General features: G+C 43.2%; 1 protein-coding gene and 1 long non-coding RNA gene across 4 annotated transcripts; one reads left to right on the top strand and one right to left on the bottom strand.

The window, feature by feature from the left end:
- Positions 1–3,233: 3,233 nt before the first annotated feature.
- On the bottom strand, positions 3,234–6,037 carry RASSF10 (Ras association domain family member 10). Its single transcript, NM_001080521.3, has one exon. The coding sequence runs from the start codon at positions 5,774–5,776 to the stop codon at positions 4,253–4,255; it is 1,524 nt and encodes a 507-aa protein (NP_001073990.2). The 5' UTR covers positions 5,777–6,037; the 3' UTR covers positions 3,234–4,252.
- A 199-nt stretch (positions 6,038–6,236) lies between these two features.
- On the top strand, positions 6,237–23,852 carry RASSF10-DT (RASSF10 divergent transcript). Of its 3 annotated transcripts, NR_187419.1 has the most exons (4): positions 6,237–6,726; positions 14,127–14,263; positions 17,007–17,209; positions 18,267–23,852. It is a non-coding gene; the product is annotated as an RASSF10 divergent transcript (long non-coding RNA). The 3 variants fall into 3 exon arrangements; NR_187417.1 differs by lacking the exon at positions 17,007–17,209; NR_187418.1 differs by having other exon boundaries at positions 15,387–23,852.

Genomic DNA, 23,852 nt, shown 5'->3' with positions numbered 1-23,852 from the left:
AGAAAATACATGTGAAAAAACACGAGGATCTGGCATTTCAAAAAAACTCAACAAAACTTGATTTCTCCTCATCTTCCTTCTTTTCTGCTTGGGAAAACAAATTTCGCAAGCATTTTCACAATGGAAATTTCACAGATTGTCATAATCAAATCTTCTCTTTTCAAGATATTAAGAACAACCTCAAGTGCATATCATATTTAGAAAGAAATTCCTAGAAAAATCTAAACTGTTCATTACAGACTACTTATAAACAACTTGGTTTATGTGTTTCATTTGATTTAATTTTTGCTAGAGGTGGGTATGGAGAAGCACAAAATCAAATATGTTTCATGGCATTGCTTTCTAAGAATAGCCTTTTCCACTAGACTCAAGATGAAAAAGATAACGAATATTTTCTTTTTATAACTCTGATTCAATTTGTTATCTCCTTAGCCCTGCTTCTGTAGAGTTTCTGTCCCTTCTGTTCTCAGATCATTGACCAATTCTGATATGAGATAAAATTCTATTAATATTACCTTAAGCAAATACTCAGGGAAGGAAAAAAAATGGAAAGGAGAGAAAACACCACACCCTCTTAACTAACACTTCTGATCCACGGGCCCACCCTTGCTGTTGTAAGAATATTTTAAGTCAGTGATTGTCAGCTTTGGCTTCCTGAGGCCACGAAGAATTAATTAGTAAATTTTGATTAAAATATTTTCCTAACAAAATATAATATCTAATGAAAGCTAAGCTGTAGTGAAACAGGCATGCTCATGCATAGCTGATTGTAATTAGAACAAATCTTTTGAAAAGCAATTTGGCAGTGAGTATCAAGCCTCTAAATGTTTGTACTCTGACCTGAGAATTCTCTTTCTGGAAACCTATCTTATTGTGGGGAGGGTGGGAGTCTAATTAGGTAAACAGATACATGCACAGAGAAACTTATTACGGTGTTATTTTATAACAGTAAAAAAAAGTATGGGAAACAAACTGATAACATGCGCAGTTCTGTAAACTATGGTATATCCACCAGATGGGTAGATCTGTTTACAGGGAGTCTGTCAAACCTGAGTATAAACATGTATATACAATCTTATCAAAATTATATATTTTTAAATACAGAAGCAAATATGAAATCTGCACAATTCAAAAGGTTTGGAAGTAAATATACCAATCTTGGTAGTGACAGGTTTTTGGTACAGAGATTTAGAGTGACTTTTCTTGCCTTTTTATGTTATTTTCAGGTTCATCGTAAGGACTATCGTGTACACAACTTTTCTAATCAGCAAAAAATAAACACACTTTATAAGGAAATAAACAAACATAAAGATGCCATATGGAATCTTTTGGTTTGGGAGATGGCTGAGACTAGGATAACTCAGATCAAAAATACAATAAATTATCTCAGTTACCAAAAAAAAAAAAAAAGGGTGGGGCTGACTGGTAAGGGACCTACATTTCATACCCTTCTTAAGTTTGCTGGTTTCTGCCCAGGATTTCCATTAGAGCTGGAGAATAGGAGCTGAGTTAATTTTCCCAGGGGCGCTGAAATCCTGACATTGGTACATTCCCTGTCATGCATTTATTCTCATTCTTAATGCCATGGTGACCATAAATGTGAATTAAAACTTGAAGTATTTAGCATTTATTAAGCACTTCCTATGCACAGGCACTGTTTTGGTGCTTTTTATACCTTTATTTCACCTTTCTCAGGCTTGCGAAAGCTCTTAGTAAAAAGAACTATTGTCTCCTTCCTCCCCGCTCCCCCACGTCAGCCTGTTCTACACACTCCTTTCTTCTACTCACAGAGAGTGCCTTTTAGGAATATAATTGATTTGGATAAAAGAAAAAAAATGGGCCAAATAGGCTGCCATTTGTTATCAATAAAGCCTCGCAGCTGCCTGAACGGTTGACTAAATAAGCACCTTCAAATGGTCAGAACAGGGAAGGTTCTAGAAATAGGGCACCAGAAAATCCCACAGGCTTTCTGCTTGTGATGTGGCTTATTTGCTTTACAGGCGTCAAGCATATTTGCTGACGTCAGCAGCCCATCAAAGTTTAAAATAATAATAGTGAAAAGGAAAACAGCCCCTTTCTTCCAGGCAGTTCTGTTCTGCCAACTTCTGCGTTCTTTTTGAGTTAATAAACGTCCAAGAATCACTCCCCTACCACCCTGAGGGGGAAAAACAGCACAATAATTTTAAAACCACCAGGTCAGCCCATTGTCAGCATAAACCATTCAGACAAGTAGCATTTTGTCACACTCTAATGAGGATTTTACCTCTGCCTCAAAATGAAAGCTATCATTAGGTTTCGTGTTTATGGGATCAAATGATTGTCTGGGGATGGTGGGTTTTTTTCAGTCCCTTCCTCATTTTTATCATGTTCAAGACCAAATGCATAGACATTTCCTGCATCAGATGAAACTAAAAAACCATAGTTATGCCAGCTAATGTCTTTTGAAAACATCAATTAAGAAAATGGCCTTTAAATTCCCATTTTTACTTGAAAATCTGCAAACAGGCACACATGTTGTAATACCAGGGCAGTGGTGGTGGTAGTGCGGGGCGGGTGGGGGGTGCTGTCTCTAAAAAGGAGACAGCACAAACAGTGGTTTGAGGAGGTCATAAGGGCAGGCTCCCATTGGCAACAAGCAGATAGAGAATCTCTGCAAGGGAAGGAACTTCTGTATAAAGCAAGACCTCTTAAGTTATCTTCACATGTAGTGTTGAAACTGGAGCCAGCCCCTCAAGAGTAGGTTGATAAGAGGCTTCTGCACCATGCTGGTACCACACACATGCCCCATTGTTAATAACCTTCTCAGGACAGATTAGATCCCACATTCCTCAGAAGTACTGAGCTGCAGAGGGAAATCGGCCAGCAGGCTCCTTCCGCGGGGCCAACAACTAGCTACAACTGATAAGTTTTAATTGAAACAACTGGAACAATTACATGGAGTCCCCACCAGCTCTGTCGCCAGCTACTGAGATGGTGTTGCACTTGCATCTCCTGGCATGTGCATAGGCGTGTGCCAGACAAGAGTAATTCAAGTTCTTAACTCACTTTTTATCTTTTTTTCCATGACTACGTGCCATCGTTAATCACATTGTTCACCCAAGGAGTACTATGAGATTGTTTTATTTTTTTCTTTTCTGTCCTTATCTAGGAAACCCTGATATTTACACTATCTCAATTTAAGTTTGAACAAGTAACTGATTAATCTCTGACAAAACATACTGAAGTTAGACGAGTTTGGGTAAAATCCGTTAAGGTCATGGTTGGTTTTAATCACATAGCTCAATTTAAAAGCTGAACACTAAAACATCTTTGCTTTCAAAGAGTGCTTGTTAGACAGCAAGTTTTGTTTTGCGTAACTTGAATTCTGCTACTTCCTTTTATTTTTTTCTGAAATAACAGTGATTGAGTCAATGAAGTGGCAATACGAATTAAAGGGCAACTCACCTGCCTTTGAAGGGACAGATCCCAAAGGGCCCAGATTAAATTTTAACCACGATTATGTTTGCCAGGATTTTATATCTCAAATGATTATGTTTGGCTTTTGTAATAATAAAAGGTTATTTTGGGAAAAGAATTCCCTTTTAACATCTATTGTGTTTACTAGGAGGAAATACAGGGTTAGACTTCGATACAGTTTAGCCTTTGAAAGAAAATAAAAGACAAATGATTTAGCAGATGGGTAATTCCCAAATCTGCAGAAATGTAAACAGCCAGGATTTTGGTGCCTATGGGTTTTATCAAAGAGGTAAGAAAGGCAGAGACCGACACCAGTGCGTCCTCTTTGGCTAGTTTTAACACGTTTACAGTCACAATTAACATTCAAGGAATTTCCTTTTCATCCAAGTGTTTCTTTTAAAGCACTTCATACCACAAACTAAAGTTCTAGCTGCCATCAGTCCTTCCCATACAGAAGAGTAGCGAAATCTCCATTATACTTCCTTACTTTGAAAATGGGCTCGGACCACGTCAATTTCCTTGGGTTGTTTGTTTTCCAGTATAGGGGGTTCTTGCCTCCTCCCTCCTTCCCTCTCTTTAATGAGCTTGTATTGAGGATCCTACTTCTTCTACCCTCACCCTGCTCTGCACTCACCCCGGAGCCAGATGAGCGCGAGGCTGCGCAGAGCGCTGCTGCCCAGCCGGAGCTCTGGGCTCGCAACAGCCTGGTTTCAAGTCCGCGAGCCGGCTGGCCCACTGCATTCTGCAAGAAAAAAGAATCCCCCTGTTCCCGCCCCCCGCCCCCCGCCCCCCACCCCTACACAAGGGATTCGCACATGGGCAAGGAGTCCGAGTCTTGGCTATGCATAGAGCTCAGTCCCGTATCCGAGTCTTCGTCGTTGCCAGGACCGCTCTTGGCCAGTCCACGGGCCTGGTCCACCCACATGTCGGCGCAGGCTTGAGGCCCAGGTTCCCGCGAGGGACTGCCAGAGCCAGGAGCCCCATCCGGTGCCACCGTCAGCTCCAAAGTGTGCAAAGTTTGCAGAAGGCCCTGTAGCTCGCGCTTCTTGCTGTCCCATTGCTGCTGGCTGTAATCCAAGTCCGACTTGACGGCCTCTAGGTCCGTGTTGAGCCGCAGCCCAATGTAAAGGCTGGTACTGAGCTGCGTCCTGACCCGTTCCTGCTCCAGCAGCAGCTCGCCGTCGGGGCCACCGTCGGGCTCCAGGGGCTCCTCCCGCGCCGCCAGCTCCTCCTGGCGCCGTCGCATCCACCTCTGGTTGAGTTCCTCCTGAATCTCGGCTGAAAGGCGCTCCAGCAACTCCTCCTGCTGAACCCGTTGCTCCTGAAGCCGCAGCAAGTCGTCGCAGCGCCGGGCCAGCTCCTCCAGCGCCGCCGCCTGCGCCTCGCCGGCTAGAGGGGGCGCCGCCGCCGCCTCCTCCGCCTCCGCCGCCACCTCTTCTGGCTCCTCTCCCGGTCTGGACCCGTCGAGCTCGATGCCTGCCCCAACCAAGTAAGTGTCCTGCACGTAGTTGACCCCGTGACGCCGCATGCGGTCCAGGTGCACCTTGGCCTCGTAGTGATCGATCTCGCGGTCCAGCTCGTGGAGCCGCTGCACCTGCTGGCGAATTGTGTGGTCCTGGGAAAGCACCAGATGCACCAGCGTCTCCATGCGCTCCACCGACGCGCTCTCGTGGGTCCGCGGCGACGAAGAGCAGGACGAGGCAGTGGACGACGAAGTGGACGAACAGGACGACGGTGTCTGCTGCTGGCGCCGCCGGTTGAGCTTGGCCAGTTTGCGAAAGGCCTTGCGCACCACTCGCCGCTGTTTCTCCTGGGTCATGGCCAGGCTGGGCCGCGCCGGGGCCCCGCGGGCCGGACAGGGGCGCTCTCGGCTCAGCACTACGCGCGCCTCGGCGCTGCGGGGGCCGGCGTTAGGCAGCGATGCCTCGCTGCGCACTAGCACGAAGCGCACATTCTCTTGCTCTTCGCCCCAGGCAGCCCAGAGGCGCAAGATGCGCGTCTTGTTGGGGAGGATGCGCTCAAAGCCGCGCCACTTCTCCACGATGCAATAGCACTGCGGGGGCCCGCACAGCATGCCCTGCGGCAGCGCCTCGTCGTCGTCCTCGTCGTCCTCGTTCGGGGGTTCGGGCAGCTCTCCCGGGCCATGCGGGTCGCCGGCCGACCCCAGCCGCCGGCTCCGCCGCTGTCTCCGTCGCCGCCGGCAGCCGTCCTCCAAAAGCACTCGCACAACGTCGGAGCAAGTGGTGCGGCGGGAGAGGCCGGACACCAGCTTCTCTTCCTGGCAGATCCACACCGATATCTTCTTTTCCGAAGGATCCATGGCGCAACCAGGGCGCAGGTGGCAGGTCCGGCCGGGGTCTGCTGGGGCGGCGAGGACAGCAAGGGCAGCCCAGTAGCTCTGGGATGGGAGAGGAGCCCGTGCCCCCCTCCGGCGGCTGCACTAGCCCTGTTCCCCCGCTGCGCACCGAAGGCAGGCTGGAAAGCGACTGCGGCTGTGGTCGCGGTTGCGGCTGCGCTCTGCCCGGACGACGGGCGCTCCCGGGGCAACGCGCCCAGGACCGGCTCCCGCCGCTCTGGCTCTGCCCAAGGTGCCCGGGACCTCCGGGTTTTGCTCCTCCCCACGTGGCTCCACCCCTTCCCGCCCCCAAGGCCCAGAGCTGTGGCTGGAAGTGCAGGAGGCTCAGGGCCCAGGCCCGCCCCTCGCAGCCTTGCCGCGCCCCGTGCGCCCTGTCCGCCCCTCGCTCGCATTGCAGGCATCCTGAGTCTCGGCCCTTTTCGCCAAATCGCTGCTCTGCCGCGCGCCTACGCAAGGAAAGATTCAAGGGTCCCTCCACTTCAGGGAGTGGAGCCCGCGCCTCGGCACGGATCAGCTGTGCGTCTCCTTTGGCCTACTGGCTCCTCTGCTTGTGTCTATAGCTAGCTGGACGCATCGTGACTTTATCTTCTCATCTTTCCTGGCGCCCCCAGACGCATTTCCTGGTCCCTCGAGGCAGCGGCGTCTGGGGAGTGCACTTTGCACAGACAGGGAAACCGAGGCACTCAGCGGTCTCCAATGGAGACGCTGTAATCGCATTCCACGACCAGCTAGCGCTATAAGCGCTGCCTCTAAAGCGGAAGGCCTCCCAGTCCTTCTCGACAGGAAGCAATATTTGCATATCTAAGGAGAACAAGATTCGGCAATGTGCTCCGGGAGCAAGTGCAGGCATGGAACGGTATGGGCTGGAGGGGGACAGACCTTCAGAGGCGGCTGCCCGTTCCCTGTAGTGTCACGTAAGTGGGTCTCCACGTCACCTTCACCTCAGCTTCCCACAGCCTTTTTGGGAGAGGGGCTCCTCATTCTAGTGGGAGTTCAGGGCCCAGACCCAAGTCACAAGCTATTTTTATGCTTTCCACCTCCATAAGGGGAAACTGTGAAGGCTTCTGGCATTTTCTAATATTCAGATGTGGTCCAGAAGAGATAACAGCCAAGCTTTACAGTGCAAGAAACCCAAGGCCACAATGCAAATGAACTTGTTTCATCCTTAACTGCTGATGAGGATGGTCCACTGAGTGCAAGGTTTGCCCTGAACTTGTCCTTGTGAGCACAGGTGTAATAATAAGCTCACTCCCTTTCTTCAAGACCTTAGATGGCTCCCCATTGCCTCTTGGCTAAAGCACTTTTGTTCATTCAATGATTCACTCAGCAAATATTTATTGAGTACCTCTCTGCTCCAGGTCCTACGCTAGGGATTTGACAATGAACTAATCGCCAGTTCTGGCTTGCAAAGAGTTCACAGTCTAGTGGGAGGGCACAGCCAAGTAAACATTCCCAACACAATGTCCTGTGTCCTCTGATAAGGGAGAGCATGAGGTTCTGGGGGACCCTGGAGTGGCATCCAACCCATCTTGGAGGGGCAAGGAAGGCTTTCCCTAGAAGAGGTGTGTTAGACAAGACCCAAAGGACCATTAGAGTCTGCCAAAAGGAAAGCAGATGGAGGGGAGGGACAAGCAGCATTCTAGAAGGGATTGTAGTGCAGTCAGGAATCAAGAGCATGTTAGTTATGGGGGCTGTCAGGAATTTGAGAGGAGTGCCTAAAACTGAAGTTGGATAATTGAACAGGAATGGGATCAGGAAGGGCCTTTAATTCCATGCTTATGTATTTGGATTTATCTTAAAGACAATGAGAACCCATAGAGTGCAAATCTGGAGTCAGAACAGCCAAGTAAAAATTTCAGCACCACGTACTAGCTCTATAACCTTAGGAAAAGTATTAATCTCTCTGAGCTTCAGTTTCCTGGTCTGTGAAATGGTGATAATAAAAATACCTCCCTAATGGAACTGGTGTAGCGATTAACTGCCTGGGCCTGGTAAATCCCCAGTAGTTTTATTGGGGGGTTGGAAAGGTCGGAGGTATATTAGTTTTCTATTGTTATGTAACAAATTATCACAAACTTAGTGACTTAAAACAACACCCATCTATTACTTCACTGTTCTGTAGATCACAAGTCCAACTTGGCATGGCTGCTGCATACTTTGCTCAGGATGTCCGAGGCAAAAGGCAAGGTATAGGCTGGTTCAAGTTCCTGTCTGAAGGCTCTGGGGGAATACCCAATTCCAAATCCATTCAGGTTGTTTGCATGATCTGGTTCCTCTCAGTTGTAGGTCTGAGGTCCCCATTCTTTTGTTGGCTGTCCTCCAGGGTCACTCTCAGCTCCTACAGAACTCTCTCAGATCCTTTCTGTAGGATATCCACCCCCCTCCCTGCAACTTTAAAGTCAGCAACCACATGTCAAATCCATCCAGTCCTCCTTTGCTTCTAATCAATCTACCATCCTCTTCTGCCACTAGCTAGAGAAAACTCTGCTTTTAAAGTGCTTGATTAGTCAAACCTACCTGGATAATTTCTCTGTCTTAAGGTTGACTGATTAGTAACCTTAACTATATCTGAAAAACCCCTTTTGCTGTGTACTGTAATATAATCACCAAAGTAGCCCCCAGGAAGATGGAGATTATGGGGCTGTCTTAGAATTCTGCCTACCATAGGGCATAACATGAACAGATTTTGATTTTTTAAAGATCCCTCTGTTTGCATTGAGGACAATGGGTGGGGGTGGGGGATGACAGGCAAGAAAGCCTTTTAGAAGACTATCTCGTTCATTCAAGGAAGAGATGATGACCTATACTGAGAATAGTGGCGGTGAGAAGACTGGACACAATTGAGAGCTATCAAGGAGGCAGGAGAGGCAGGACTTGGTGATAGATTGACGAGAGATTTCCTTCTCCCTAGAATGGTGTCAAAGGTCTCTTGCAATCTGGACCAGCCCACTTCTCCAGCTTCTCACTTACATGTGGGCTATCCCTTCTTCCTTTCCTCTCACACAGGATTGCTAGAGCTTTGTAGTCAGCTGCCATCCCTGCTGGATTCTAAGCTCCACAAGGGTAGGGATCATGTCTGTTTTGCTCACTTTTGAATCCTTTACATTTAGTGCAATCCCTGACACATTCTAGGTTTACTCAGTATCTGTTGAATAAATTAATGAATCCATGAAGGAATCCTACATTTTAGCAATCCAATACCTCATCCATCCAGAAGAACTCCTGCATCTTGATGTATCCACACTTTTGTACATGCTTTTCCCACTAATTGAGATTCCTCTTAAACAACTGGAGAACTTCTACTCACTCTTCAGAAGCTCAGGTAAATGTCACCTGCTCTGGGAGTCCTTTCTTTCCTCCTCCAGAAAGAACTGGTTCCCCGCTCTTCTTCTGCGTCTATTAATGTGGAGGTTACATTGTGCTGTGATGCGTTTTTTATGTCTGTTTACTCCCACAAGAATAGAGCTTTTCAAAAGAGAAGATTGTCTCTGTCCTATTTGCAGTTTAGTCCTCAGTGCCTAGGGTGCCTGGCACATGGCAGGTTCTCCATCTTCCCGTATGTTTTAAGGAACACTCAGATGAATAATGTCTAAGATATTGTGCTACCCTCAAGATAACTTATTTCTAGAAGCAGACAAATACATGGAATCCCTGTTGTAGTAATGATATATATGAAATTCCTGCTGGACTAATTAAAGGGTAGAATGATTGTATGGGTGCTAGGAAGGATGCAGAAGGCAGGCTTCAATAATTGGGGAGGAGGGGTTGAGGGCATTCTTGGTGGGAGAAAATACTTGAGTTAAAATGCTGAAATGAGTATGCATGTGGTCATGTACTGGTGTTTCAGAGTGTGTGTTTTGGAGTCACCCTGCCTCATTTCAAATACCAGCTATAAGCTTTCCAACCCTCAATCTTCTTACGAGGAAAAAAGTATAATATTGGAACCTGCTTTATAGAGTTGTCATTACATGAAATGAAATAATGCACAATATATAAAAGATCTAGTGCAGTGACTGGCACATAAAACATGCTCAATAAAACACAGCTAGTGTTGTCAAGAAATTGTATTAAGTACCTACTGCATGCTATGTCCTGGGCTATGTGTTGAGGATCCATGAATGAACTGGACAGACATGGTCCCTGACCTTAGAGATGTCACAGCCAGGATTAGTGTGGTTTAGCAGTGGATTTCTTAAGTTAGGCTAGGCTGTAGTAACAAACAGGGCCAAACTTGTATAATGGCTCAAACATCACAAAGATTTATTTTTCACTCAGATAATAGTCAAAAGAAGATGTCCTGGTTGGGAGGTGGCCTTATTCCTGGTTCCTTCCATCTCGTGACTCCAAAATCCTCTAGACTTCGTCATCATGTATATAAGCCAGAGGAAGAGGAGAGAGTATGGAGGGGCACACCCTCTTCTTTAAGGCATTGGCTGAAAATTGAGCTCATATCCCGTTGGCTAGAACCCAGTCACGGCCACTAGTAATGGCAAGGAGGCTAGGAACTGCAATGAGTATCTCAGAAGAGGAAATGGGTTTTCATGAACAGCTAGCTGCCTGCCATAAAAATATTTATTTGAAAAATGAGACAAGAGGCATAGAAAGAAGTTCCAAAAGTGTAGGAATTGCAAACTGGTGGTCCACCAGCCAAATCTTGCTGCCTTAGACAGAATATACTCTCTGTTTAGCCACAAAAACAACACTCTATTTCACATATGACCCAATTCACATACATTCATAACTCACCTGAGCCCTGTAATCATTTGAGTTGTGACTCTTGCTTCCATACATCCTCCTAGGGTTATCTCATTCACTCCCAGGGATTTTATACAATTGATATGCCATGGCTTCCACATCTATTCCAGAATTATCCAAATATGCATATCCAGCAGCTTGCTGGGTAGCTCCACTTGAATATCTGCCAAACATCCAAACCTTTGTCAAACAGATGAAGTTGAACCCATTATTTCTCCGAAAGCCTGTTCTGCCTCTTGTAATATCTATTTCAGAAAATGGTCCCATCATTCACCAAGCAAGACCTGAAACTTGAGGATCACCGTTTTTCATCACCATCTACTTCCTTTCCCCACAGGATGTTGAAGTTCTGTGAGGGCAGAGGGTTTTGCATGCTTTTTTTCCTACTTAACCTCCAGCACCTGAGACATCAACTCTCACACAGTAGACAATAAGTATTTGTAGAGTGAATAAATGAATGAATGAATGAATGCATTGCCTTAGCTTAGGCCCTCATTTATTTTTAACCTGGACCTTGCACTTTCCTTCAAACCAATTTCCTTGCCTCAAATCCTGCCTCTCTCCCATACTCTCTACTGCATATGTTTGATGAGTCCATTATCTTCAGAATCCAGTTCAAGTTCTCAGCAGGACCTATACGTCTCTGTAGGATCTGAGGTCTGCTTGACTCTCAGCCTATACACCGCAGCCACATCCTCAATCACACAGTTCCCTCTGACATCTGGCTAATTCCTGCCCACCTTCCAAGTTTCCGCTTAACTTCACCTCCTCCTAAAAGTCTTCTTTGGCAGCAACATCCTCTCCAGGAAAGAATCCAAACAAAACTGCTTTAGGAAGATTAGTCTACATCAGTAGGTGGGATCAATTGAAGTTATAATACACTTGTGTTAGGAGAACAAAGGATGGGGGGAGGGTGAAGGAGGTACTTAAAAATTCAGACTGTGGTTGCTTAATCACTTTAATATAAATAGAGAAGATGCCTTTCAGCACATCATAGATCTTTTGCAGTCTTAATCCTTAGGGCTGCTCTGTCCAATACAGTAGCCACTAGGCATATGGGGCTGTTGAATACTTGAAATGTGGCTCTCTGAATTGATATGGGCTTTGAGCAGAAATACACATCAAATGTCAAAGACTTCATACAAAAAAAGGAATGTACAATATGTTAATAACATGTAATCTTGATTACATGTTGAAGTGATACTATTTTGGATATATTGGGTTAAATCATTACAATTATTTTACCTATTTCTTTTTACTTATTTTTTAATGTGGCTACTAGAAGTCTTAAAATACTAATGCAGCTTGAGTTATATTTCCATTAGACAGTGCTGCCAGTGGGAAGGCCAAGTAACTTGTAGCAGATCATTTGAACCTTCTCAAGTGTGGACTTACCCTAAATATCCTAAGATAATAAATCCATCTGGGTTTTGGCTATCTCTGAAGAAAGTCATTCCATACCTTTACTGGATTTGTGGTTTAAATGTTTCTGTTTGATGATGGCCCTCAAAAGCTTCTTGCTACGGCCTAAGCCAGTCCCCTTAGGCTACCTAAGAAGCATATTCCTGAGGATCACCCTGCAGCTGAATCCAGTTGAAAGTTAAAGTATAAATGGTTGCTCTCCAGGCAGAATGTCAGTATCCTTGCTCATGCAGCAGCCCTGAGCCTGATAGAAGGTACATAGATTCATGCTATGCCCTGGCCAGAAAAATACATGGCTTCATAATAGGAAAAAATATGTTTATGACCTGGGGATAGAGGAGGCATTCATAGACAGAACATAAATTAAAATTCATAAAAGAAAAGCTCAGTAGTATATGATCATATCAAAGTTAGAAACTTCTGTTTGAAAACACACACACACACACACACACACACACACACACACACACACAGAGAGAGAGAGAGAGAGAGAGAGAGAGAGAGAGAGAGAGAAATATACTATAATGTTAAGATGTCAAGTAACCCAGGAGAAAATAGATCCTAAAAGGTTAGGATTCAGGATGCATAAAGAACTCCAAAAATTTAGCAAGAAAAAAAAGCTATGCAACACTATGGAAAATGGGTAAAAAGTAGATTAAGGGATTTTACAAAAGAAGAAACATAAATAGCCAACAAACATATAAAATAATGCCCAACCTCACCAGTAATCAGGAAAAGGTAAATTTAAGTGAAAGATCATACTCTTTTTTTGCCAGCAGATTGGCAACATTTTTTTAAATTGATGATATATCAATATTGGCCGAGAAAACAGGGGAAATATGCTCTCAGACACCACTGGTGTAAATACATGTATCTATTTTGGAGACAATTCTACTAAAAAATAAAACTGGGCATACCCTGCATACCATGAAGCAATCCAACTTTGTGGAATCTACTTTAGAAAGACATGTGTGCACAAAGAGGCGTGTATGGGGTGTTCACTACATTTGTTTTAGCAAAAATTGGGAACAACCAAAATGTCCACCAATAAGAGAACAGCTGAATAGGCTGGGGATACCCAAAGCTTGGAAGCTTCAGCAGCAGTTAAATCAAGTGAAGTAGACTGACATGTACAGGTAATAACAAATCCTCCAGAGGTATTGTTCAGTGCAAAAGGCAAGTTGCAGAGTGATGTATATGACGTGGTTCCATTTCTACTTTAAAAACGCATACACAGAACATGGGTACATATGCATAAAATCACTCCGTAGGTTTTCCAGGGGTACAGATATCTGTATGTGCTTACATAGCACAAGGTCTTTAAAAATATTCAGCAAACCTAAAGCAGTGAATCCTCCTAGAAGAATGTGGACATTTACAGAAGGAGAGACAAAGAGGAATTTAACTCCATCTTGTAATGAATTTACGAGAGGAATTGGTTCACATGTTACTTCATTATGCAATTACAATGTGTAACTTTTTAAAAGTGAAAGGGCTTGCGTTGGGATCCCTAAATCTTGGTTCTCCCTTAGACCAGTGGCCCCCAACATTTTTGACATCAGGGACTGGTTTCATGGAAGACAATTTTTCAGTGAACTGGGTGGTGCGGGGGGTGGTTCCAGATGCTTCAAGCATGTTACATTTATTGTGCACTTTATTTCTATTTCATTGTAACATATAATAAAATAATTATACAACTCACAATCATCTGACATTAGATTCTCATAAGGAGCATGCAGCCTAGGTCCCTCACATGCGCAGTTCATGATAGGGTTCACACTCCCATGATAATCTAATGCCATCACTGATCTGGCGGGAGGTGGAGCTCAGCTTCAGTCACTCACCTGCTGCTCAACTCCTGCCATGTGGCCCAGTTCCTAACAGGCCATGGACCCATATCAGTCCGCAGCCCGGGGATTGGAGACCCCTGCTCTAGACCTTTCATTTACCTGCCTGTGTTTCTTTTCTGTGGACCAAGCCCTAGGGTAAAGTTTGCAAATCTCTGTTTCCTGTACCCTAGTGGAACTTAAGTAACCCACTACTGTATCTCAAGGGGTTGTGAAGATTAAGGAGGAGTCTAGTGGGACATCTGATTCAAAGTATGTGCTTTACACTGGATTCTTTCTTTCTCTTCCAGATAAGATTTTTAGAAGATAGGAGTTTTCACAGTGGCGGCAGAGCCCTCTGCTAAATCCTCATATTAGATGTCAAAGGTGGCATGTCATTTGACCCAATGGCTTTTTTAGTCATTTATCTTCCTAACACCTATGAGAGGTAAGACATAGCTCCCTTACCCATGAGCAAACTGAGGCCAAGGAAAAGGAATTGGCCAGTTTCCCAGCTCACAAAGCTCTGTGGGAGCTGGTGTTTTGTTTGGAACTTCTGCTTGTCCAATCTGTCAGTCACGGTTCGTGGCCACCGTGGAACACCCAACACAGCAACTTCCGCCCTTAATTATATTGAGCCATGAAAAAGTGTGATTGAAACCTACTGTCTGAATCAGATCTTTGCAATGATTAACCCCAGAAAATGATCTGCAAAATGCGTTTACAGAAACATGCAGCTGCTCTCAAACACACTGGAGGAAATTTGGGAGCTGCTGCTCTTGTCCAAGGGCACTAACCCATCCCTGATGAGACTGAGCTCCAGGCTGGGGCAGAGATGCTAGGCTGTCATACTCAGAGACATGGCCTCTCAAAGTGAGGTCAAGAGGCCACCTATCCAGAATTGCCTGTGGTGCTTATTAAAATGCAGATTCCTGGGTCTCATCCTAGAACTAGTAAATCAGAATCCCTGGGGGTGGTCCAGGAATCTGCATTTAAAGTAGGGATTCTTATGCACACTAAAGGTTGGCCCTAACTGTACTAGGAGGAAAGAACCAGAGACAAGAATGCTCATAGCCCAAATGTTCTTTAGCCGTCTTGGCCCCATAGATGGCAGTGATACATATATCACATGCATACACAAGAGGATGATGGTAACATATGACAGGCGAGAAAGAGTTGCCCCTGGGAAGAAAGAGAAAGAAAGACAGGGCAGAGTAGAGAAGGAACTACTCACTCATTATCCTCTTTAGAATCTCATATTTTTGGTGGAAGCATAGGTTACAAAGATGATAACATAGAAATGTTTAGGTAAGAGAGTCTAAGGTAGCAGTGACTTCAGTCTCCTGAAAGACATTCTGCAAGATATTTAGCATTCTTAGCCTTTTTTTTGAGACCGAGTCTCACTCTGTCACCCAGGCTGGAGTGCAGTGGCACGATCTCGGTTCACTGCAACCTCCGCTTCCTGGGTTCAAGTGATTCTCACTGCCTCAGCCCCTCAAGTAGCTGGGATTACAGGCACGCACCACCACACCTAGCTAATTTTTGTATTTTTTTTTTTTTTTTTTTTTTAGTAGAGACAGGGTTTCACCATGTTGGCCAGCCTGGTCTCAAACTCCTGATCGCAAGTGATCCGCCTACCTTGGCCTCCTAAAGTGCTGGGATTACAGGCGTGAGCCACGTCTTTGTTCCAGCAAAACCAACCTAGTCCCTGATTCACAAATCATCCTGGGAGTGTACAGCACTTACAGCCAGAAAGAAGTCTCTGGAGCAAAAAGCATTGCATATTCAATGGTCTATGACATCACCATCGAAGACTCTGTCAAAAGGGGTTTTGTTTGATTAATTTTCATTATCTGTTGTTACCCAACTAATGAAAGGTGATACTATTAATGAGTGTGTGAACGAGACAGTGTCTTCGTTACCACCTCTGAAACACTCCCAGCTTTTTCAGGGACGAATAGCCCTGACCCAAAGTGTGTCCTTTCTTCATTGTAGGGAGATACAAACTGTTTCTCTCCAAGTACTCCAACACCAATTATTGTGTGTCACAACCGAGAACACAATATGAGGCTTGTGCTTGAATTACTGCTGTTTTATGTGCCAAAAAAAATGCTAGCTTTCTTTTTTCAGTGAAGTTGATAGAGTTGGAAGACATTTTAATACCACATTTATTGGTTTGAAAGCATGATTGTTTTAGTAGCTGGTGCAAATTTCAAGGAACACATAACTCCCTTTAAGAAATATTGTTTCTAAGAAATTACATTTGACTAAATTTGGAAGCTTTAATGCAAATAACTTTCAAACAATGAAACCATATTCACAAGGAGATGCTTTTATTTTCTCCACTGAGGAAGAAATGGAGACATGTTTCCTATTGTCGTTATGTCCATCTGGACAGAAAAGGAAGTCTGTGGGCTAGACAAGCAAAAATAGGTTACATCTGGGTAGCCCAGCAGTCTCTCCCTGACTGCTGAAGAAGCTCCTCTTTGTTTCATTCCTGAAGCACGGCGTTGTTTTCTTGGACCCGTGCATCAAGTTAAACCTGAGTTAGACTATGGATCCCTTGCACTTGATTTTATGATTGTAAGACTTACACAAATGCAAGCCTAGAACACAATTGAACTCTTATTTGCTTACATCTCCATGAACAGGAAAGAAGCCACTTGATCTTCTAAAAGTTTTGCCCGGTTGCTTTCTCTTTTATACCTATTGTTAAGCTATAAAATGAAATCACCAAATTATCAATCTGCGAGTATTTGCTACTTCGCAATATATATTTAAGAATTTTACAAAACAAAACTGTGCCATAAAAAGTATTTCATCCATATGATCTTACAGTTCCACTTCTAAGAATGCATATACCCAAAAGAATTGAAAGCAAGATCTCAAAGATATTTGTATACCTGTGTTCGTAGCAGATTATCCACAATAGCTAAAGGTGGAAGCAAGCCAAGCGTCTATCAATGTATGAATGGATAAGTACAATGTGGTATACACAAACAATGAATTGTCATTCAGCCTTAAAAAGGAAGGATATTCTGGGCTGGGCGCGGTGGCTCAAGTCTGTAATCTCAGTACTATGGGAGGCCGATAGAGGTGGATCACCTGAAGTCAGGAGTTCAAGACCAGTCTGACCAACATGGTGAAACCCTGTCTCTACTAAAAATCCCAAAAAAAAAAAAAAAAAATAGCCAGGTGTGGTGGCAGGCACCTGTAATCTCAGCTACTCAGGTGGCTGAGGCCAGGGAATCGCTTGAACCTGGAAGGTGGAGGTTGCAGCAAGCCGAGATTGCACCACTGCACTTCAGCCTGGGTGACAGAGTGAGACTTTGTCTCAAAAAAGAAGGAGATTCTGACACATGCTATAACATGGATGAACCTTGAGGACATTATGGTAAGTGAAATAACCCATTCAGAAAATAGACAAAATCTGTATGACTCTACTTATATAAGATATCTAGATCAAATTCAAGAGACAGAAAGTAGGATGATGGTAATCAGGGGCTGGAGGGAAGGAGGAATGTTACTGTTTAATGGCATAAAGTTTCAGTTTTGTGAAGTGAAAAGAGTTCTAGAGATGGACTGTGGTATTGGTTGCACAGCAATGTAAACATACTTAATGCCATTGAAAGTGTCACTTAAAAATAGTTAAGATGGTAAGTTTTATGTTATGTGTATTTTACCATAATTTAAAATAATAATTTTTGAAAGTATTTCAGATTTTATGCCAAAGTTCTTATTAAGGGAACTTTCAATTTTTTCAAAAAAGTTTAAAATACTTTCCACCTAATTTTCAAAGTAAATACAACTTTCAAATTAAATACAGGGAATTTAATTAATTCCCTGGGACTTTCAGGAAACCAAACTTCTGAGCACTGTTTATTTGAAGAAAGCCTTCCTTTTTCCCTCTCCTTTCGCATAATTTCTCCCTAGTGCTGTATGTTGGTCAGCTTTGTTAGCTATTTATTTGTGCTGGTCTGTGGCTTTATTGCTCTGGTCTTTATCAGAAACTTAGGTAAATATTTGCAACCTTGACAAATGATGCTTGGATACTGATAAGTCTTTACATTAAGAAGGATATTCTTAATAAAATTAATGTTCTACTTAGTTCACAAAGCTGTACACAGGATAAATAGCACAAGGCCTGCCGAAGTGCCTGGAGACAGTAGACATGAACACATGTTGTCCTAGTAGATATTTGCTTATCAAGCACCAGCAAACAATAGAGCTGGAGGGACCCAAAGAGAGCCTAATCTCTGTCCTCTAGAGCACTAGGTTTCTAAGCAGGTCATTTAAAAGTGACAGAAAACATGGCTGTAAACCCCTATTTCTATAACAGCTAGTAAAGCACTTGCACATATTTATATATTGGAACTCTGTTCACCCCAAAAAAGGTTTAAATCCCTTTGACCATGAAAATTGGTTGCTTATGACTTCAAACTATACTACAGGGCTACAGTTACCAAAATGGCATGGTACTGGTACATAAACAGACACACAGACCAATGGAACAGAATAGAGAACCCAGAAATAAGACTGCACACCTACAACTGTCTGATCTGTGACAAACCTGATGAAAACAAGCAATGGGAAAAGGTTCCCTATTCAACAAATGGTGCTGGGATAACTGGATACTCATATACAAAAGACTGAAACTGGACTTTTTCCTTAACCATATACAAAAATTAACTCAAAGTGGATTAAGGACTTAAATGTAAAACCCAAAACTGTAAAAGCCTGGAAGACAACCTAGGCAATACCATTCAGGACATAGACACAGACAAAGATTTCGTGACAAAAATGCCAAAAGCAATTGCAACAAAAGCAAAAATTGACAAATGGAACCTAATTAAACTACAGAGCTTCTGCACAGCAAAAGAAATTATCAACAGAGTAAACAGATAACCTACAGAATGGGAGAAATTTTTTGCAAACAGTGCATCGACAAAGATCTAATATCTAGCATCTATAAAGAACTTAAACAAAGTTGCAAGAAAAAAAAATCACCCCATTAAAAACTGGGCAAAGGACAGGACATGAACAGACACTTTTCAAAAGAAGACATACATTTGGCCAACAATTATATGAAAAAAGCTCAACGTCACTGATCATTAGAGAAACTCAAATCAAACCACAATGAGATACTGTCTCATACCAGTCAGAATGGCTAATATGAAAACGTCCAAAAATGACAGATGCTGGTGAGGTTGTGGAGAAAGGGAACACTTTACACGGTTGGTGAGAGTGTAAATTAGTTCAGCCATTGTGGAAGACAGTGTGGTGATTCTTCAAAGACCTAAAGACAGAAATACCATTCCATTCAGCAATCCCATTACTGGGTAATATACCCAAAGGAATATAAATCATTCTGTCATAAAGATGCATGTGTGTATGTTTACTGCAGCACTATTCACAATAGCAAAGACATGGAATTAACCTAACATCAATGGTAGACTGGATGAAGAAAATGTGGTACATATACATTGTGGAGTACTATGCAGCCATAAAAAAGAACAAGATCATTTACTTTGCAGGGGCTTCAATGGAGCTGGAGGCCATATCCTTAGCAGCTAATGCAGCAACAGAAAACCAAATATTGCATGTTCTCACTTATAAGTGAGAGTCAAATGATGAGAACACATATAGGGAAACAACACACACTGAGGCCTATTTGAGGGTAGAGGGTGGAAGGAGGGAGAGGATCAGGAAAAATAACTAATGGGTACTGGGCTTAAATACCTGGGTGATGAAATAATCTGTACAACAAACCCCCATGACACGAGTTTACCTATGTAACAAACCTGCACATGTACCCTTGAACTTAAAATAAAAATTTAAAAAAAGAAAATAGGTTGCTTGACTCTGCACCTTTCCTTCTCTGCTTCTCACTTCCCAACTGTTCTAATTTCATATGGGAATCCATGCAGTTATGGAGAATCCACCTTCAGCAATGGGAATGAACCTAGCACCACATGACCTGGGCTGGATCAATCATCACATACTATCCCCTGACCCAGTGATTGGTTCAGGGATGGACATGTGACCTAAGAGAGTGTGGTTAGAGTAAACCTCAGGACTTCTGCTGATAACATTGGCAAAAAGATTTTTTTTTTAAATGAATGAGGGCATGTAGCCTCACAGAACAGCTGGAAGCCATTTTGCAACCACAGAGATCTGCCAAAGTCTCCCTAAGATGAAGAAACACTGAGATAGCAGAGCCAGGAAATGGTGAAGGGAATGTTGGTCCCTGGTCAAGTTGTTTGAGCTAGCCCTGAAGTTTTTCAAATCTCTGTGGGCTTTTCAATTGCATGAGCTAGTAATTTCCCTTTATTACTTAAGCCAATGTGAACCAGCTTTTCTGTTACTTAGAACCAAAAACATTCTGCTACATCATTGATACACGTCAAACACCCCCTTCCTTTTACAGAAGAAAAGACTAAATCTCATGGATGCTACGTGGCTAGTTAGGAGGAATTGCCTTCCCAGTTCCAGGCCTTTCTCCTTTTACTACTCTAGCCACTTGTGATGGGTTTGGTAACAATGAGTAAAATGTGCATTCTCCTTATTTCTAACCACGGATTGGATATGTTCAGAAATATTAAAACTGATTTTCCTCAAGTGTATCTTCTGGCAATTAATGTCATTGCTTTATAGCCACTCTGTACTACGGGCCCTTGTGATTCATTAGAAAAAACAAAGGATCAAATAGTTAGAGAAGGTATAAGGACCTTGTTTAAAATTTTATTTAATTTGCAGCTAATTTACCAGCAACTTAGGCTCAACCACGTATGCTGCTTTGCTAGTTTCTTCAAAACTTGTCATGCACTTTCATTTCTTGGTAATCATCCCTCATTACCATTTCTTATCTTTCAAAAACACAGCCTCACCACACTGTATTCTTACCTTTGGTGCCTCCCTCTACAGCTAGAATTTCCAGATTCTGTGGGCTCTTCCTCTGTAAACTCTAAAAATCCTTCCATTTTTATCTATACATACTATTTCCCCCACTCTAACAGATCTTACCTATCACCAACCCTAAAATTACCTAACAAAATGCTCATCACATCTTCAAGGAAATGTCCCACAGTGAGAGAAAAGAGAAAGGAACCTGTGTTTATTGTGCTAGGAAGATACTAGATACTTTACAGACATTAACTCATTTAATTTTCATGACCACACCATGGTAAGTAGGTAGTAGTATCTCAGTCTAAAAATAAGGAAACTGAGGTTGGGTGAGTCATAGGGTTGAATTCCAAACCTAGGTGTGTGCAGTTCTAAAGATACTTTCTTCCACTGCTTCTGTTGGACAATAGATTTTGCCCCTTTTGTACCAGCTCCAAAGGATAGTGACCGCCTGGATCTCGTGTTGAGAAGACTGAAGCCTCATCCAGGTTGACAGGGAAAGACAAAAGGATGTCTTGCCAAAGCTTGCCAAGGGGGAAAGTGGCAATCCACACACCACTTATTTCACATTTCTTCAGGCCTGTGCCTGGGGCAGTTCTAGAGGTTTCCCAGGAGAAGGACAGGTGCACCAGGGAGTCTGGCTATAAAGTTTGTACACTAGAATCTGTTGGCAGATTCTGTTGCTTAAAGTTGAGTTTGCATTCATACTTTATATCTGAAGAAATGGGAAGTTAGGGAGTTAACCACTGTCTATTGGGAAGTGATTCATGAATCAGAACAGGTGAGAATGTCAGGCTCTGAAATGAACAGCACACTTCTGTATGGAATGTACTGGGGCAGCATACCTGCCTTCTTTCTCAGATCAATGTTGACACACTTAAATTTGTGAATAAGGCCTTCCAGGATATCTTGTTTAGGAAGAACCAGTTCACTTGCTAGTATCTAGGCTTTCTAGGTATCACGAGGGCTTTCTGTCAAAGCATAAACAAGCAGTGAGAAATCATCAGTGTTCTCTCTCTGAAGAGAGAGACACCAGGAAAGGAGAGAGGGTAGCAAGTTAGCAGGCATGGAAAGCTGCTGCTTTGCAGATGTGTTCATCAGGCATAATCCTTAGCTGGATGTTAGACAGTACCAGAAGTTGCATGGTGACTTGTCTGATGGTTGCAAAGATATTGGTCCTCATGTGGGATTATTCAAGATATTCAGAAGGGAAGAAGCTGAATCTGGTTACAAAAGGTGTTCCTTAAATACGTAATGAATGAATGAATAAACAGTTCAATGGAAATTGGGGCAAATTAAGGATTCAGTAGATGTGAGGTGTATTTGTCTCATGTCCTCATCTGATGAACATCTACCATATTCAGTTGTCTAGTGAGGACTCTTTTAGTGTAGAAACCAAGGAGGCACATTTGGGGTTCATTTAGAGATGGGGTATTTGGGGCTGGGGGGAAGCCAGCATATGAATGATGGGCTTCACCAGGAGACAAAGGGCATCTGTCTAAGGGATGGATGCTGAGGGTGGACCTGGCAGGCTGAGCAGGTGAAACTCTTCCATTGGAGCAGACTGTGGGTTTATTTGAGCTTAAGAAAAGGAGGTCATTCCCAAGAATGAATAGCAGTGGATTTGTAGACTTTGAAATTAACAGATCAAAGACACCAGATCTCTGTAGAGAACTTAATATGATCTCTAGATTCTGAAGCTCCAATTCTCAGCCCTGGCTGCACCCTAGAATCACCTGGGAGCTTTTCAACCCTACCACTGCCAGGGTTTCTCCCCCAGAGCTTTGGATTCAGGCAGTTCAGAGTGAGGCCCTGGAATCAGTATTTTCAAAAAGACCTCCAAGTGGCTCTGAGAATATCACTGCAGTTGAGACTGTCCACTCTAGACATAACTCAAAGCAGGCAAATTTTCAGGATTCCATGGCTAGACTATGACATTTCCAACAACCTCAAGAGAGACATTTTAGGATTATTCATTCATACTGTGTGCATCCTTGGTTTCTCACTAGCCCCTGTTCTTAAGGCCTGGCAGATTCCCAGGTGACTTCTATCCATGAGAGTGTCCCAAGAAGGGCCACTGGGAAACACACTTATAGAGAGTTTGGATTATGATCCCAAAAGACACATTCCTGAATGCCATCATCCCCGAGGTTGAAATCCTGAAAGATCAAAATTTCTAAAGACTAAATCCTTAACATCTAAAATCCTGAAAATCACAATCATAGGATAGTTGCATCATGTTAGGTGAAACTGTTACCTTGTTGTGGTCTTTATTTGGAAATTAAGTATGGTTTAAGGAGATGCATATAGTGCCAAGTTGACAGGGATGGATTTATTGACTTAATTTGAGATGTCAACTTGACTGATTAAGGAATGCCTGAAACCCTGGTAAAGCATTATTTTGGGTGTGTGTGAGGGTGTTTCCAGAGGACTGAGTAGACTCGGTGAGGAAGATCTGCCCTTGATATTGGTGGACACCATTCAATTGGCCAACAATCTGGAGATAACAAATATAGAAGGCCAACTGGTCTCTCTCTGAGAGCTGGGACAGACTTTTCTTCTGCTGCCTTGGACATCAGAACTCCAGGCTCACCAGCCTTTGCACTCCAGTACTTAACAGCAGCGGCCATCTGGGTCCTGAGGCTTTTGGCCTCAGAGAGTAACACCATTGTCTGCTGTGGTTCTCAATATAAAAACATTGAAACTTCCTCAATAAATGAACAGATTTCCTTTTTGTGTATCTGCATTTGTGAAAGACCAAAATTTCTTGAGATCTTGCCTTTTTGGGCCACTGCATATGCAGTGGTGACCTATAGAGGTTTTTGATTGATCTTGTCAAAAGACAGGTTGTCCATCACAGTATTTCGGATGACTGGAGTTATAAAGCTAGGTACACACAACTACCAACCATCATGATACATGTTTATACACTTTGTTTTTGGCATATTGCCTTATGAATACAGTTCATCTGCTTGTAATTGTTGTAATCATGTGACTGTTGTTAGAATAGCTGAGTGCTTATGTTTGCAAAGATATATATGTTATTATTGCCAATTTTATTGTGTAAATTGGCCTCTGAAGTGCTCTGTCAGTTTTTATATGGTTCTCAAATAAATCTCCCTTAAAAATGTAAA

The sequence above is a fragment of the Homo sapiens genome, chromosome 11, assembly GCF_000001405.40.
Source record: "Homo sapiens chromosome 11, GRCh38.p14 Primary Assembly".
Classification (NCBI taxonomy): domain Eukaryota; kingdom Metazoa; phylum Chordata; class Mammalia; order Primates; family Hominidae; genus Homo; species Homo sapiens.
This window is presented reverse-complemented; position numbering and strand designations above follow the sequence as displayed.